This window comes from Homo sapiens, chromosome 7 (genome assembly GCF_000001405.40).
Source record: "Homo sapiens chromosome 7, GRCh38.p14 Primary Assembly".
NCBI lineage: Eukaryota > Metazoa > Chordata > Mammalia > Primates > Hominidae > Homo > Homo sapiens.
In genome coordinates, this window is record NC_000007.14 from 72,011,784 (window position 1) to 72,029,787 (window position 18,004).

Sequence of the window (18,004 nt, forward strand, 5' to 3'; positions counted from 1 at the left end):
ACAGGTATGCACCACCAGACCCAGCTAATTTTTAGGTTTTTTTTGTAGAGACAAAAAAATGTTGCCCACACTGGTCTTGAACTCTGAACTCAAACAGTTCTCAGCCTCTCCAAGTGCTGGGATTACAGGCATGAGTCACCATACTCAGCCCATTTAGATAACTTTCAATGAAAATTCTGCACCTTCCTGGGCGTCTACAGTTCACATCATACCCTATGGGTTAAACACTTGAGGATAAGTAGATTGAATAAAAAAAATACTTTTAAATATAATTTGGGAAGGTTCTATGGAACAGAGATATGAAACCAGTGGTGCCAGGACTTTCCCGATAATGTGACCAGTGATTTTTCTCTTCTCCCCACCTACAGCCGCTGGTCAGCTCATCTCAGCTACAGGCTGAAGTACCAGCCATGAGGTTATTTTGAAGCAATTTTTTAAAATTACTTTTAATCGGCCGGGCACGGTGGCTCAAACCTATAATCCCAGCACTTTGGGAGGCCGAGGCAGGCGGATCATGAGGTCCTCTTGAGACCATCCTGGCCAACATGGTGAAATCCCATTTCTACTAAAAATACAAAAATTAGCTGGGTGTGGTGGCGGGTGCCTGTAGTGCCAGCTACTCAGGAGGCTGAGGCAAGAGAATCACTTGACCCAGGAGGCGGAGGGTGCAGTGAGCCGAGGTCGTGCCACTGCACTCCAGCCTGGCAACAGAGTGAGACTCCGTCTCAAAAAACAAAACAAAACAAAAATTACATTTAATCAATTTATTTTTTGTGATCATAAAATCATTTCAGACTTTTTCCCAAAATATGAGTTTTCAGCATATTAACTGGACATAAGGCTGGTATGTGGAGAGCAGCATCTGTGACAGTCCTGCCTTGCGCCTCCTGCAGCCTCTGCAGCAGAGGGTCATACAGTGGCTTTGGGTGACAGCTGCCACTCAGTGGTCTCCAGTGAGTTCTTTTCCTCCTGGCAGCTGGCAGCTGCATTAATTTTGATTTTAGGCTTTATTTATTTATTGATTGATTTTGAGACAGAGTCCCCTTCCGTCACCCAGGCTGGAGTGCAAGGGCGTGATCTTGGCTCACTGTAACCTCCGCCTCCGGGGTTCAAGCAATTCTCCTGTCTCAGCCTCCTGAGTTGCTGGGATTACAGGTGCACGCCACCACGCTTGGCTGATTTTTTTGTATTTTTAGTAGAGACAGGGTTTTACCATAATGGTCAGGCTGGTCTCTAACTCCTGACCTCAGGTGATCCACCTGCCTCGGCCTCCCAAAGCACTGGGATTAAAGGCATGAGCCACTGTACCCGGCCGGCTTTTATACTCTCATATCAACTTTGTGCTCCATTTACCATAACCATGGGCGTGTGAACTAGAAATGCTTTAAATTCCAATCACTTCTCCCCTTTTTGTTTTTGCCCCTGAAAACAATTGTTGGATAATGTAATTTTGCTAATTTGAGATTTTTTTTTTTTTTTTTTTTTTTTGAGACAGGATCTGGCTGTCACCCAGGCTGGAGTGCAGTGACGTGATCATGGCTCACTGCAGCCTCAACCTCCTTGGCTCAAGTGATCCTCCTGCCTCAACCTCCCCAGTAGTTGGGACCACAGGTGCATGACACCACACCCAGCTAATTTTTTTATTTTTGGTAGAGACAGAGTCTCACTATGTCGCCTAGGCTCCTGTCAAACTCCTGGGCTCAACTGATCCTCCTGTCTTAGCCTCCCAACGTGTTGGAATTACAGACAGGAGATACCATGCCCAGACTAATTTGAGATTTTGTTAACTTTACTGAATAATAACAGAATAGACCGTATAGCCTAATACAAACAAGTATAAAGAAAAAATTATTCACTTTTGTGCCAGTCAAAATAAGTACAATCAGAATTTTTTCCATTTTTTTCTATGACTATAAATGGATGCATAATAGATTAATATAATGGGCATAATAGATGTAGGATGGTAATGTAATTATACTGTAAATTCCATCTCTATCTTGGCTTTTCCATTTACTATAAAGTGAAAATATTATTTCTAACAATTATATAATATTTTATCTTTATAATTGCATTTTCCTACATCTCTGACTGATTTTATATGGTAGATTACTAAATGTAGAAAATTATTTTAAATCACAGGGTTTGAACATATTTTAAATTATAGGGCTTTAAAAATTATGGCCAAGTGTCACCAAATAGTTTTCTGAAAAGTTGTATGATTTACAAATTTACATTTCTACAAAGAAATTGTAAATACATTTCTTTCTATTTACATTTCTATCAGTGTTATATGAGTTGGCTCTTTTTTTTTTTTTTTTTTTTAGATGGAGTTTCACTCTATTGCCTAGGCTGGAGTACAGTGGCTTGGTCTCAGCTCACTGCAGCCTCCGTCCCCTGGGCTCCGGTGATTCCCCTGCCTCAGCCTCCCAGGTAGCTGGGACTACAGATGTGCGCCACCACGCCCAGCTAATTTTTGTATTTTTAGTAGATACAGGGTTTCACCATGTTGGCCAGGCTGGTCTCAAACTCCTGACCTCAGGTGATCCGCCCACCTCAGCTTCCCAAAGTGCTGGGATTACAGGCGTGAGCCACTGCAACCAGCTGAGTTTGCCTATTTTATCTTGCTCCTGACAACTTTGAGTATTACATGATTTATTTTCCATTCTGAGAAGATAACTGTTAACCAATCCCTATTTTAATTAACATTTCTAAGATTTCCGGTGAGGTCGAGCTGTTTTAATGTTTATTTCAAATGTCTATCAGTTGTCTATTGCTCTTTATCCCATTTATTGTCAAGAGGTTTCACATAGCTTTAGAAATGTTCTGTACCTGTGTTTTATTCTACAAATTGCCATATTTTTGCCAGTTTGTTAGCTTTTCTGTTTGTTTACTTTTTGAGACAGGGTCTCGCTCTGTTGTCTAGGCTGGAGTGCAGTGGCATGATCATGGCTCCCTGCAGCCTCGACCTCCCAGGCTAAATTGATCCTCCCACCTCAGCCTCCCTAGTACCTGGGACTACAGGCATGTCCCACCATGTCTGGCTAATTTTTGTATTTGTTTGTAGAGTCAGGATCTTGCTTTGTTACCCAGGCTGGTCTCAAACTCCTGGGCTGAAGCGATCCTCCGCCTCAGCCTCCCAAAGTGCTGGGATTACAGGCGTGAGACACTGCGTCCAGCCTTTGTTAGCTTTTTAAATATTCTTATAATCTAATAGTATAAGTTAGTATTATTTGATTGTTCCATTGCCTCCAATGCTTAGAAAATTATTTCCTACTTAGAAATTAGCTACATATTGATAGGTAATTTCTCCACCTTTTCAAAACAGTTTAAAATTATAGTGTTAAATAGACTAAAGATCAATTACACTTATGAATAAGGATAACTAAAAGAAAAACCCAAATTACCAAGCCTGGAAGGAAGCAAGGGTCAGAACCAGATCAGTAAAACTAACTCGCTGCCTTGTCCCAAATGTCAGGCTCATTAAAATCCTGTAACTAAGTGGATCTCAAACTCAAGCCAGCGTTGACGTCACCCAGAGGGCTAATAGAAACAGATTGCTGGGCCATAGGCCTGGAGTTTCTGATTCAACAGGTCAGTATTGAATATTCAATTTAATAGGTGGGGCCCAGGAGTTTGCATTTCTTTCTTTCTTTTTTTTTTTTTTTCTCTTTTTGAGACAGGCTCTCACTCTTGTCGCCCAGGCTGGAGTGAGGTGGTGCAATCATGGCTCACTGCAGCCTCAACTGCCTGGATTCCGACAATGTCCTCACCTCAGCCTCCAGAATAACTGGGACTACAGGCATGTGCCACCACGCCAGGCTAATTTTTTAAATTATTATTTCTAGAGATGGGGTTTTGCTATGTTGCCCATACTGGTCTTGAACCCCTGTGCTCAAGAGAGCCTCCCACCTCTGCCTCCTAAAGTGCTGGGATTATAGGTGTGAGTCACTTGCTGGGCCAGAATTCCCATTTCTAACAAGTTCCAGGTATTACTAATGCTGCTGGTCCAGGAACCACACTTTGAGAACCACTGTTAACATGAATGCTTCCCATATTCCATTTTTCCACACTTGGTAAGATCCCTGTGGGGAATGAAGGCTTGCTGTCAGTCTAGCAGGCCTTGATATAGACATCACTGCTGAAAACTATTAAGGTTCCATTAGATGATTAAGAATGGAAGAGAGGCCAGGCACGGTGGCTCACACCTGTAATCCCAGAACTTTGGGAGGCTGAGGCCGGCACATCACCTGAGGTCAGGAGTTCCAGACCAGCCTGGCCAACACGGTGAAACCCCGTCTCTAACAAAAACACAAAAATTAGCTGGGTATGGTGGTGGGCGTCTGTAATCCCAGCTACTTGGGAGGCAGAGGCAGGAGAATTGCTTGAACCCAGGAGGTGGAGGTTGCAGTGAGCTGAGATTGCGCCCCTGCACTCCAGCCTGGGCAACGGAGTGAGACTCCATCTCAAAAAAAAAAAAAAAAAAAGTCACTGTCAATGATTGAATATATTTCCTTCCAGTCTTTTTATGCATAACAGATTTGCAGTCACATTGTATTATAGCTTTTTGTATGTAATATTTCCTTCACATGTCACAACCATGAAATGCAAATGCTCTCAACTGTCCATGGGTCAAGAATTTTATTTATTTTATTATTATTATTATTATTTTTTGAGACAGAATCTCCCTCTGTTGACCAGGCAAGAGTGCAGTGGCATGATTATAGCTCACTGCAGCCTCAACCTCCTGGGCTCAGGCAATCCTCCTGCCTCAGCCTCCCGAGTAGCTGGAACTACAGGTATGTACCACCATGCCTCGCTAATTTTTGAATTTTTTGTAAAGAAAGGGTGTCACTCATTGCCTGGGCTGCTCTTAAACTCCTGCTTTGGCCTCCTGAAGTGCTGGGATTATAGGTATGAGCCACTGTGCCAGGCCTAAAGTCAGTAATTTTAAAACCAAACCACCTGCCCATCTCTGCCATCACGGTGGGACCAGCTTATAAAATGTCCCAGACAAAAGCCTGGGCCTGGGCTGGGAAGAACTAGGTTTTGCATGAGGACCTGAGACAGAGATCAAGATTCCTAGACCAGGCTGGGCACGGTGGCTCATGCCTGTAATCCCAACACTTTGGGAGGCCAAGGTGAGTGGATCACTTGAGGCCAGGAGCTCAAGACCAGCCTGGCCAAGGTGGCAAAACCCCGTGTTTACTAAAAATACAAAAAAAAAAAAAAAAAAAGCTGGGTATGGTGGCACACACCTGTAGTCCCAGCTACTTGGGAGGCTGAAGCATGAGAATCACTTGAACCCGGGAGATGGAGGCTGCAGTGAGCCGAGATGATGTAACTGCACTCCTGCCTGGGCAACAGAGAGAGACTCTGTCTCAAAAATTAAAAAAAAAAAAAAAAAAAAAGAGTCCAGGACCAAAGCAGAAATGGAAAGCCACAGGAGACACGAGACCACAGCAAGAACTGGGATGGAGAGACAAAAGGTAAAGCCTTTCCGGAAAGGTTTCTGGGGAGTAGATGCAGGTATTTTACTGCACCTGCTGCATATTCTCCCACCAGATGAGTGAGGATTGGACAGCAGCAGACCTATGATTGATAACCAGGGAGAGGCAAAGCAAGTCAGCGTGGCAAACAGACTTTCATCCCAACCAAATTGGGGAACGAGTACCCTATGCACTTTCAGGCTAGGGTAATTTACAATGTCTTGCACATTGCACACAGCTGTGGGATAAACAAGCTATTCTAAAGACCAGCTTGCAGAATGGCTCCCTGGACTTCGTGTGTGCTCGGGAGTATTGCCCAAAAGTCCTGAGCATGCAAAAAGACCAGGGAGCTATTATGGGCTTCTTGTCTCCCGACCTTTAGCCCCGGACTCATTCCAACACGACCAGCACCATCCAATGAGCAGATCTATTTGCTCACAAACTGTGAATATTTCATTTCTTAAAACAGAAAGTCTAAATTAGTGAAGTCTTCATGAATAAGGTTTGATTGTGAATAAGATTAAAAATGTGAGCAAAGGAACCCAGTTCTACATGAGATGTTTTCGGCGTCACTCTGGCCGAGGTGTTCTTGAACCTCACGGTGGCAAAAGTAAGACACACAAACAGCTCAGCTCTCCTCACCAAGTGTGGGACTCATTTCTCTGTTTCTTCAGAGGGAAAAGAGGTTAACAGAAGTGTTGGCTGGCCCCCAGGACTGGCAGACCTGTTTAATCTCCCATGATCCTTTCACATATGCTCTCTATAGCTTGCTGTCTGCAAACTCATGGCAGAACACGGTTGCACGGGGCTTGAGGTCAAGCAGAAGAAAATGAAAAAGGCTGCTGGGGTAAATTCATGAAAACACCATGATAAAATAGCAGGGCTCTTTCCTCTGCCACTTGGGGACATCTACTGTATCATAAGCCTCTTATTCTTGGATACAAGTAGGCACATGATGTGTGGCGTAAATAAATGGTGGAAAAGCAGGGACCCTGAGGACCGTGCTTGACTTCTTGGCAGGTGCAATTAACCTGCAGCATTGAGCAGGAAGCCTACCCCCCAGTCCTGAGTCTCAGCCCCGCTCAGTCCCTTCCTTCCCTCCTCTCCTCTCTGCCATTCCCATATACCATATCCTAAGGCTGACTCCATACACAGTTTCACATTTCCTCAGCAAATATACCACTGCAGTAACAAAAAAACACACAGAAGCTTGATGAACGAAGACTAAGAACACAATCACAGCTTTACAACTTATGCATAGGAAAGCGGTTCTGAACTGGCTGCCAAGAGTCTCACACCCAGAGGGCTGAGCGTATGCCGGGAGGACTGGAGACCCTGGGGCATGACTCTCAGACCATCCTCCCCGGAAAGGAAGCCGCATTTGTAGCCAACTATATTCCCCCTTCACTGTTAATCAATTTCCTGCAAAGAGCCAGGGGCTCATAACTTTTGCGACTAGTACCAACCAATAAATAGCTGTTTTTGCTGAATCCCATTTGATTTTATTCTACCCTTGGCACTATAGGCTAGAACACCAGTAAGGAAAGCACTGGAAAAAAATTATTTTATTTATTTATTTATTTTTGAGACAGGGTCTTGCTCTGTCACCCAGGCTGGAGTGCAGTGGCTCGATCTCAGCTCACTGCAACCTCCACCTCCCAGAATCAGATGATTCTCATGCTTCAGCCTCCTGAGTAGCTGGGATTACAGGCGATTACCACCATATCCAGCTAATTTTTTTTTTTTGTATTTTTTTTTTTCAGTAGAGATGAGGTTTCACCATGTTGGCCAGGCTGGTCTCAAACTCCCCGCCTCAACTGATCCGCCCACCTCGGCCTCCCTAAGTGCTGGGATTATAGGCATAAGCCACCCTGTCTGGCCTGGAAGAAGGATTTTATTAGGAAAAGGCACCTAGTGCTTGATAGGATTGCTTCTCAGTGATACAGAGAATAGCCTTGGTTATAGGTTTCCTCTAAGGTAGGAAGAAACCCAAGCCTGGGGAAAATGGAAGGCTTGGGGCAGCAATGTCAGATCAGAAGTTGAAGTCCAATTACAGAATCTTTACCCTTTATGGTAGCTAGCCTCCAAAGTGATCCACAATGGCTCCTGCCTCCTGGCATTCACCGGGAGGCTGTTCTCTCCCACACTTAATAGGGATGACCTGTGTAACCAAGAGAATATTGCAGAAATGATTGTGTCCAACTTGATAGCTAGGGCATAAAAGATATCATTGCTCTTGCCTAGCACTGTCCTGGATCACTGGCTTTGAGGGAAACTGGCTGCCATGTCAGGAGGACACTCAAGCAGCATTGTGGCAAGGTCTGTGCAGTAGGGACCTGAGGGCTCCCGTCAACCACCAGCGTCACCTTGCCAGCCAGGTGAGTGAGCCACCAGGAAGCACATCTTCCAGTCCAGTCAAGCCCAAGGCTGGTCACAGCTCCAGCCAGCATCTTGGCTGCAACTGGATTAGAGACCCTGAGCTAGAACCACCCAGCTCAGCCAGCTTTCAAATTCCCAACCCACAGAAACTAAGTGAGATAGAAAATATTTAGTGTTGTTTTCTGGCCCTAGATTTTGGTGTAATGTATTATGCAGCCAAAGACCACAAATATATACCCTTCTAGAAGTAGTCTCAGGTCTGTTTCCACGGAAAACTGACTATGTCACTGATGGGAAGCCTTGCTAGAGTCTCTTAAGTAGGATGGTCTTCTTTCAAGGATATCAGTACCTCCTAAGATCAATATCTTCTGCCTGGATATCTGGAGGTGAAAAGCTACTTTTCCTATTTTTTATTTTTGTTTTATTTTTTGAGACAGGTCTCAGTCTGTCAGCCAGGATGGAGTGCAGTGGCACAATCACAGCTCACTGCAGCCTCAAACTCCTGGCCTCAAGCAATCCTCCTGCCTCAGCTCCAGAGCAGCTAGGACTACAGGTGCATAACACCATGCCCAGCTAATTTTTCAATCTGCTTTAGAGACAGGCTCTCACTGTGTTGGGAAAGCAACCTTTCTGCTTCTTTTTTGTATATTATCTTCAATCACTTCAAGGAAGGAAACACACATGTATATATATGTGCACACACACACATGCACACACTCAGCTTTCTTCTAAACCTGAAAAACCACCCAAGCACTGGGAACCTGAACTCTTTTCCAGAAACAAGCCAATGCTGTAGAAGTTTTAAGTACCATTTTTTCACGCTGTCTCTGAAGGGGCAGGCAGTCGCAGGGGGAAGAAGGGGAGGCTGATTACTGAGAATTGATGGATGTTTTTGTTCTTGCTTGCTAGTCGTAAAATTCTGAGCTGGGTGAGCACTAGCAGGAGAGGAAAGCCACAGCCACTAAGTCTGTGACTTCCAGCATTGATTTAAATATTTCAAGATGGAATTTTCCCTCCTTTCTCCAGCCTATCTTTTCACCCTGAGTGGGGAAGAAAATCTTGAGTAAGACAAAAACATGGAGACTTTGTGAGCATTATAGCATGTCTGAATTAAGCTACAGGCAGTCCATATATTGTAAGAGATATATTTCCTTGCAGTGTACACGCTCTACTGTGATGAACCTGGAAGACAGGAGGAGTAGGAGTGTAGATTAAGTAGCCATAGCTCCTTCTCATCCAGATGAGGGCCAGAAAGAAGAATGCTTAGAACTCACAAGGCCTTGGAACATTCTCCTTAGTTGGCCCTAAGGATGGAGGTAAAGAGTAGGAAGCATTCAGGGGCTCAGGTGCCATGGCTCACTCCTGTAAACTCAGCACTTTAGGAGGCCAAGGCAGGAAGATTGCTTGAGGCTAGGAGTTTGAGACCAGCCTGGGCAACATAGCAAGACACCATATCTACCAAAAAACACAGAAAAATATAGCAGGGTATGGTGGCTTGCACCTGTGGTCCCAGCCACTTGGAAGGCTGAAGTGGGAGGATCACTTGAGTCCAGGAGTTCAAGGCTGCAGTGAGCTATGGTTGCATCACTACCCTCCAGCCTAGGTGACGGAATGAAACCCTATCTCTAAAATACACAAAAAACAAGCAAAAAGGCATTCAGGAGAATAGATGGAGAATGAGAGAAAGAAGAAGGAGAAACGCCCAGGGGAGAAGCAACTCGCCAAGGCCCATCATCAGAGTGGACCTCCATGGGTCAAAAGATGGCCAGATGGGAAACAATATTCCTTCATCTTCTGAACTCTGGGGTCATTTCTTATTTCCACCAGGGGACTCTACCTATTGGTCCTTGCAAGTGTCAAGTCATAACTGAAGGTTCCATGAGCACTGCAATATTCTCCTTGCATGGTGAGTAGGGTCCTGGAGATGTTCTGGATCCTAACAACAGTTCAGGGAGATGGCGTTTTCCTGTCAGCAGTGGGGGATTCACGAGCCCCTGTCTCACTCTCCCCTGATCCTGGATGTCCTCTGGGACCAGGTCCCATCTCTCTGCTCATCCTCTTTTATGCACCTTCCCTCGGTGAGCTCATCCTTGCCTATAATTTTACCCACCAGCTCTCATGAATCTCAATCCGGTGTTCCAGCCCCAACTGATTTCAGCTGTGCATAGACTTCCTCCCTTTACTTGGCTGCTTGACCCTCACCTTCTACTCAGCATGTCCAATTGAGGATTCAACCCCACAAGACTTCTCTGTTGCTCCATGATCTGACCCCTGCCAATAACAGCAAGTTGGGAACTCTGGAATCAGCCTCACCTCTTCTGTTTCTTCAGGCCCTAAATCCATTCTGCCAGTGGGTTTTGAGGTCTTGCCCTTCAAACGGTATCTTAGTCATGGTCAATGACTTCCCCATGCCAACCCCTTTTCAAACTCTCATCATGGCAGAACTGAAATGCCCTCTTTTCTTTCTTTGCATTTAATTCCACCCATACTTCAAGGTTCAAAGCAAGTGTCACATTCCCTAAATTCTTTTCTGACCCTTCAAGACTGTATTTTCCTCCTTTCTTGCCCTTCCATTCATCTATTGAAACAAATAGTTATTGAGGGCTTGCTGTGTACAGCATGCACAGAGTGAGCTACAACTCTGAAGCCCTGTGCTTCAAGGAGTTACAGTCTAGTGACCATCACACTAATTAATCACTTGTTTGTTTTCCCTCTCTTAATTGTGTTTCCCTAGCCAAATTATTATTTTTGTTTGTTTGTTTGAGACAGGGTCTTGCTCTGTTGCCCATGCTAGAGTGCAGTGGTGTGATCATAGCTCACTGCAGCTTTGAACTCCTGGGCTCAAGCGATCTTCCTCCCTCAGCCTCAAGAGTAGCTGGGACTACAGGCATGCGCCATCACATTTGGCTAATTTTAAAAATTGTTTGCAGAGACGGGATCTCGCTATGTTACCCAGACTGGTCTTGAACTCCTGGCCTCAAGCGATCCTCCTGTCTTGGCCTCCCAAAGCACTGGAACTACAGGCATGAGCCACCAAATTCAGCTTCCCCAGCCAAATTGTGAAATAGCTAGGTCTGAGTCTTAAATGCCTTTTGTAAAACCCACAAGCACTGATAGATTATAGCATATGTAAGTTCTTACTAAATACTTGTTGGTTCTATGCAAGATGGGTACCTGAATAAGACTAGAAAGACACACCAACTGCAACCCTTATCTAGGTTAGAGAAATCTCCTGGTGAAGGGAAAAAACAAAAAATAAAATAAATAAAATTAAAAAAAAAAAAAAAAGAAATTTAAAAAAAAGAAAAATCATGCTGTGTCTGAATGGCGTTTTACGTGTCTAACTGGTAATTTAATTTAATTTGACAGACAACTTACGTGATTCAAATTTTTTAAAATAATGATTGATAACCCACTCCCTAAATTTTATAATCATAAAATAATTGTCACATTTTAAGAGTAGAGAACTAATATAAAAATGATTTCATTATACTTTAATAATTACAATGTTAGATGTTTGGAATTTCCTAAGAGATTTTACAAGATAGAAACAGGAGCTAATTGAGAAGCACTGAATACACATTCTTAGACAAAACCATTCTCTCTCATTAAGTGCAAGGATATTGACGGGATCCAAATGTACCAGGCAACCATGCCATTCTCTCAGCAAAGATATCCCGGAACTGGGGTCAAACACAGAACCGGTTCAGATAATATCAGTGTGCCCCTTTGAAGTGTCCCCAGGAAAAAGACTTTTGTGAATGTGCAGTAGAATAATTTCATTTTTCCCTAATGCAAAAAAAAATTGCTACAAGAAAAAAATGGGGAGATATTTCACTCCTCCAAACCCTAAAAAAGTAGTTGTTTTGATTCTTTGTTCTGGAACATATGTCGCTCAGCCCAGAAGAGATCTTCACGTGCCAAATAGAAGTTCAAGAATTCAGTCAAAAGTTAGTCTCAGACACATTTACTGTCAAACTTAGTCTGAAAAAAAATATTCTTACTCACCTGCCAGAATATGCTGTCTATCGTGTTCCCAAGAAAACCATCGCGACCTTCTGAAGACACCAGTTTGGGGCCAAGAATGGTCATGAATTCATCAAAATCCACCTGGCCATCCCCTGCAAGGAGAAGATGTAAATATGAGTTGCAAACAAGCTGAACTTGACCTACCGTACCTGATGCAATAAACACCTCTACGCTTTTCTTCTTGGCATGACCTCAATCAATGAAGAAGAGCTGGTAACATTACTTAAAACTGTTCAATGTTCTTCAATGACTGAAAGTACCACAAGAAACTGGCAATTATTAGTACAACCAAAACCACATATTCCTAAACATTTGACAGTATTTCTAGCTAAATGTCCAACCATCACTTCCCACTTAACATGGTTATACCTCACCCCTGCTTCTCCTTTTACTCCGAATTGCCCAGTTGTACATGATGGAAGTGGCAGCTTCACCCCATCTCTTCCACCATCCTTGTCACCCACATATACATGTAGTCATCAAGCCTTCTTGATTTCACCTCTTAAGTATCTGTGGTTGCTGTATCTTCCTCATTACTCAATGGCTAGTTCCCTTTTCAACCATGAAGGTGAGAAAATCCTTCTAAGAATTAATGTTCCTAGCTACGATTCTGTTATGAGTAGCACGGCTTTTACACTCTTACCTTCGCAGTCTCTTCTATGCAGTTCTGAGTTTAATTCCCCAAGACCAAATCTCATCATGCTTTCTATATTTGAACAGCACTTTTTTTGTTGTTTTTGAGATGGTGTCTTGCTCTGTTGCCCAGGCTGGAGTGCAATGGCGTGATCTCGGCTCACTGCAACCTCTGCCTCCTGGGTTCAAGTGATTCTCATGCCTCAGCCTCCAGAGTAGCTGGGATTACAGGAGCAAGCCACCAAGCCTGGCTAATTTTTGTATTTTTAGTAGAGACAGGGTTTCACCATGTTGCCCAGGCTGGCCTCAAACTCCTGACCTCAAGTGATCCGCCTGCCTTGGCCTCTCAAAGTGCTGGGATTACAGGAGTGAGCCACCATGCCCGGCCTGAACAGCACCTTTGACTGAAAATAGGGATACCACCTCAGCATAGTGTTCAAGCCTCACTATCTCTTTTGCATCAATTTGTCCCCAACCTTTGCATAAAATACAAGCTCCTTTACACCTCTGCGTGCATGTGTATGCCTATCCCTCTGTCCGGGATGCCTTCCCTCACTTGTCTATCTGGTGAATTCTCTTTCTCTAAGACGGAGCTGAAATGTCATGTTCTCTTTTTGTTTTGTTCCTGATCTCATTAGGCAGAACTGGTCGAACTTTTTTTCTCTCTCTCCTACTAACTCCATGTGTACCTACTGTAGAATTTAAAACCATGTATCCTGGCCAGGTGCGGTGGCTCATGCCTGTAATCCCAGCACTTTGGAAGGCCGAGGTGGGTGGATGACCTGAGGTCAGGAGTTCTTGACCAGCCTGACCAACATGGTGAAACCCTGTCTCTACTAAAAGTACAAAATTAGCTGGGTGTGGTTGTCCATGCCTGTAATCCCAGCTACTTGGGAGGCTGAGGCAGGAGAATCGCTTGAATCTGGGAGGCGGAGGTTGCAGTGAGCCAAGATCGCACTGCTGCACTCCAGCCTGGGCAATAAGAGCAAGACTCCATCTAAAAAAATAATAATAATAAAACAATAAAATAAAATAAAACCTTATATCCCAGTCACTGATTTGCATGCCTATCTCACAAGCAAAAGATTGTCAGTTCTGCAAGGTCAAGGACTTGGTCTGAAACATCTTTGTATATTGAACACCAAAGCAGGCATTCAGTATGTACTTGTACAATGAATGAATGATGTCTCTTGCTCGTTCTTTCTTTGTTCAATTCAGCATCTGCTGGATCTTTCATGCTAGAGCTGACAGTAATCAGAAGGTGGACTTGAGCCAACTCAACAGACAAGAGCGAACCTTCAAGGCATTGTTGGGTCCTCCAGGAGTCATCAGTGTAGCATTCTGCACCCTCTGAACTGCTCAAAAGGGCAACTCCATCAAAAGTTCACCACATCCCTACCTTGGCTGCAGCCAGCACAGACAGCCAGGTGTCTGCACACAAGAGTTTGTCCAAATGCCCACACATAAATCAATGCCCTCTCAGAGTGCATTCACCTTCAAAGAATATTCATTCAAAACCTATTTCACAATGCCAAGCAGATGTGAGCATCAAGATGCCAATAATTCAGAACAGATTGTCCAGGAACAGATTGTCCAGGAACAGATCCCAGCAGAGGTAAAATTTCCTAAAGGATTAGGGAGGCGTGGCAAGTCAATGGGAAAGGGAGGATTTAACCACCAAATGAAGAGGGGCAGTCGGTGGCCTCTGGAGAAGAAATTGATTTATCTTATCATCCAACAAGATAAGTCTAAAATTTCACTCTTGCTGGTAATCGTAAGAAAGCTAATTCAAGCAACGAGTTACCATCTTGCCTTCAAAATTATCAAATACTTCCAAAAGCACACTAGTCGATGCTGCCAGAAATACAGAGAGATCACCTCTATAATGCATTCCTGGTGTACTTGTCCCAGATATAGACAGGAAGTACCAATCAAGATCCTGTAAAGTGCTGTTTCCTTTGGATCTAACAATGCACTTAACAAAATAGAGGGGGGTTGGGTGAGGTGGCTCACACCTGTAATCCCAACACTTTGGGAGGCCGAGGCAGGTGGATCACCTGAGGTCAGGAGTTCGAGACCAGTCTGGCCAACATGGTGAAACCCCATCTCTACAAAAAATACAATAATTAGCTGGGTCTGGTGGCAGGTGCCTGTAATCCCAGCGATTCGGGAGGCTGAGGCAGGAGAATCGCTGAACCCAGGAGGCAGAGGTTGCAGTGAGCCAAGGTAAGACCACTGCACTCCAGCCTGGGCGACAGAGCAAGACTCTGTCTGGGGAAAAAAAAAATAGAGAGGGGGTCTTGCTATGTTGCCCAGGCTGGTCTTGATCTCCTGGGCTCAAGTGATCCTCCTTCCTCAGCCTCCCAAAGTGCTGGGATTACAGGCATGAGCCACCATACCTGACCTTAATAACTTCATTTTTAGAGAAAAAATAAAACAACATTTATCTTGAATATAGAACAAGATATTTGCCTACAGATAGATACTCAACTGGTATTTGTAAAAGTGAAAAGTAGAAAGCTAGAGGGAAAGGAGAATGGCCCAGTCTACCTAGAATTTGACACCTCTGAAAGCTAACTCCACGTGGCTCCACGTCTTGGATAGACATGCTTGTTACATTTGTGCAGTAACTCTCTGCTCACCCCAAATCACCTCCACTAGTCACAGGTGGGGCTGGATGGCCAAACAGTCTTGAACTAAACTATACATTCTCAAGAGTGACAGTATCACCCACAATGGGGTGAAAATGGCTTCTTAGGGAACAAAATAACATTAGCCAATGTTAGATATTACAATGGCTTGCGGCTCTTCTAGGGCTACAGTACATAATACACAGTGTATCTGTACAAAATTTCAAGAGGGTGGGACAACTAGAAAAATGCATATCTGAAAAGGTTCTTGGGAGGTGCTTATTTAAAAAAAGAAGAGGAAGGTTAAGAAGCACTGGACTAGGAGACGCCCCAAGTACTGTGGTTCTTTTGCCCAGGTACTCCCTCTGGAATGTCGGTCTATCAGCAGTGGGCATCATCTCACTATCTGCACCCACAGTGAGGTCTAACTGTTCATAGAGGCTTAGAAGCTCAAGGACACGAATCTATTTTTGCAAAGACATCATGAGGGCCAGGTGCAGTGGCTCATGCCTGTAATCCTAGCACTTTGGGAGGCCGAGGAGGGTGGATCACTTAAGGCCAGGAGTTTGAGACCAGCTTGGGCAACATGGTGAAACCCCATCTCTACTAAAAATACAAAAATTAGCCAGGTGTGGTGGCGGGCACCTGTAGTCCCAGCTACGTGGGACGCAGAAGCAGGAAAATCACTTGAGCCTGGGAGGCAGAGGTTGCAGTGAGCTAAGATGGCACCACTGCACTCCAGCCTGGGTTGACAGAGTGAGACCCTGTCTCAAAACAAACAAACAAACACACACACACACACACACACACACACACACAAAAACACATGAGACCTGGCCGGGCGCGGTGGCTCACGCCTGTAATCCCAGCACTTTGGGAGGCCGAGGTGGGCGGATCACGAGGTCAGGAGATCGAGACCATCCTGGCTAACACAGTGAAACCCCGTCTCTACTAAAAAACACAAAAAAATTAGCCGGGCGTGGTGGCGGGCGCCTGTAGTCCCAGCTACGTGGGAGGCTGAGGCAGGAGAATGGCGTGAACCCGGGAGGCGGAGCTTGCAGTGAGCCGAGATCGCGCCACTGCACTCCAGCCTGGGCGACAGAGCGAGACTCCGTCTCAAAAAAAAAAAAAAAAAAAAAAAAAAACACATGAGACCTGATCTAAGATATGCCCACCAGGCTGCTCCTGACCGTGATATAATGGGCACCATTCTCTCCCACTTGGGAACCTCATAGTTTACGAGATGTGGCAAAACCCATGCTTGCCAGCACCAGGAGAACGAGGCTGTCTTTGAACAGTGCACCTTCAAGGTAGCAAGAGGAGCAAGACCACCCACCTCTGAAACCTCGACTCAGGGTGCAGGGAGCGCAGCAGTTTGGAACTGGTGCATTTCACAGGTCCACATGGAGCTCTGGGCCAAATCATCACAGTACCAGGCAGTGCTCACAGATGGTGCACTTGGCTGGGAACTACAGACCAAAAGCTGACAAGCAGAAATGATGCTTCTGAAACACATCTTGGTCCTGGCAAAGGGAGCAGCTCATTTGCTATTCCAAATTGTTGGCCAGAGAAGAAGCGATGGAGAAGGGCACTCAGGATCCTATGGGCAGGGCCAACTATGGCGTGGAGTACACGTGACTTGGCAGAAGAGGTACAGATCATGGAAATATTTGCTTCTAGTCATTTAGGAGAGGACGTTTGGAATTCCAGATTGGCCAATGTATGTTTTTCGCTTGTGATACTTTGATTTATAATAAGAAATGCATATTGGCCAGGCGCAGTGGCTCATGCTGTAATCCCAACACTTTGGGAGGCCGAGATGGGTGGGTCACTTGAGGTCAGGAGTTTGAGACCAGCCTGGCCAACATGGTGAAACCCTATGTCTACCAAAAATACAAAAATTAGCTGGGTGTGGTGGTACAAACCTGTAATCCCAGCTACTTGGTAGGCTGAGGCAGGAGAATCGCTTAAGTCTGGGAGGTGGAGGTTGCAGTGAGCTGAGATGATGCCATTGGCCTCCAGCCTGGGTGAAAGAGCAAGACTCCATCTCAAATATATACATACAGATAGACAGACAGATATAGCTATAGAAATCTTTGTCTCTGTTTCCTGGTACACAGCTCATAAAACACTGATAATTCCCTAAGTAATAGAGTTGCAAAGAGCATCTTTTGTTCTAATATTTGGTCTTTTTTTTTCTTTTTGAGACAGAGTCTCACTCTGTTGCCCAGGCTGGAGTGCAGTGGCACGATCTCAGCTCACTGCAAGCTCCGCCTCCCGGGTTCACGCCATTCTCCTGCCTCAGCCTCCTGAGTAGCCCACCACCACACCCAGCGAATTGTTTGTATTTTTGGTAGAGATGGGGTTTCACTGTATTAGCCAGTGAAGATTAGCCAATCTTCTGACCTCGTGATCCGCCCACCTCAGCCTCCCAAAGTGCTGGGATTACAGGTGTGAGCCACCGTGCCTGGCCAATATTTGATCTTTGACCCCATTTCCTGGCCAGAACTCCTAAATCCTTTGGAATTCCCTGGGTGATAGGAATGTCTTTTGTTCTAATGAAGCACTTCTTGGTGGGCTTCCAGTGGGAGATGATCACCAGAAACACCAAACCATGATTAGAACCTTGGAAATTTCAGTGCCATCTCCCCAACCTCCAGGGAGGAAAGAGGAGCTGAAGACTAGGTTCATAATCAATCAGGCGCACATGATGAAATCTGCATAAAAATCCCTAATGTATGAGGTTCAGACAGTTTTCAGGTTGGTGAACACATGGAGATGCTGGGAGGATGGAGCTCTCAGAGAGGGCGTGGAAGCTGCATGTACCACTCCCATTACCTTACGCCT

General features: G+C 44.9%; 1 protein-coding gene across 15 annotated transcripts in view; it reads right to left on the reverse strand.

The window, feature by feature from the left end:
- The window catches only part of CALN1 (calneuron 1), a 724,789-nt gene that overhangs the window by 232,293 nt on the left and 474,492 nt on the right, over positions 1 to 18,004 (reverse strand). For all 15 annotated transcript variants that reach the window (XM_017012677.2, NM_001363460.1, XM_017012683.2 and 12 more), the window contains one exon: positions 11,874 to 11,986. In XM_017012677.2, coding sequence (XP_016868166.1) covers positions 11,874 to 11,986 — 113 coding nt within the window. The remainder of the gene's footprint in view (positions 1 to 11,873; positions 11,987 to 18,004) is intronic.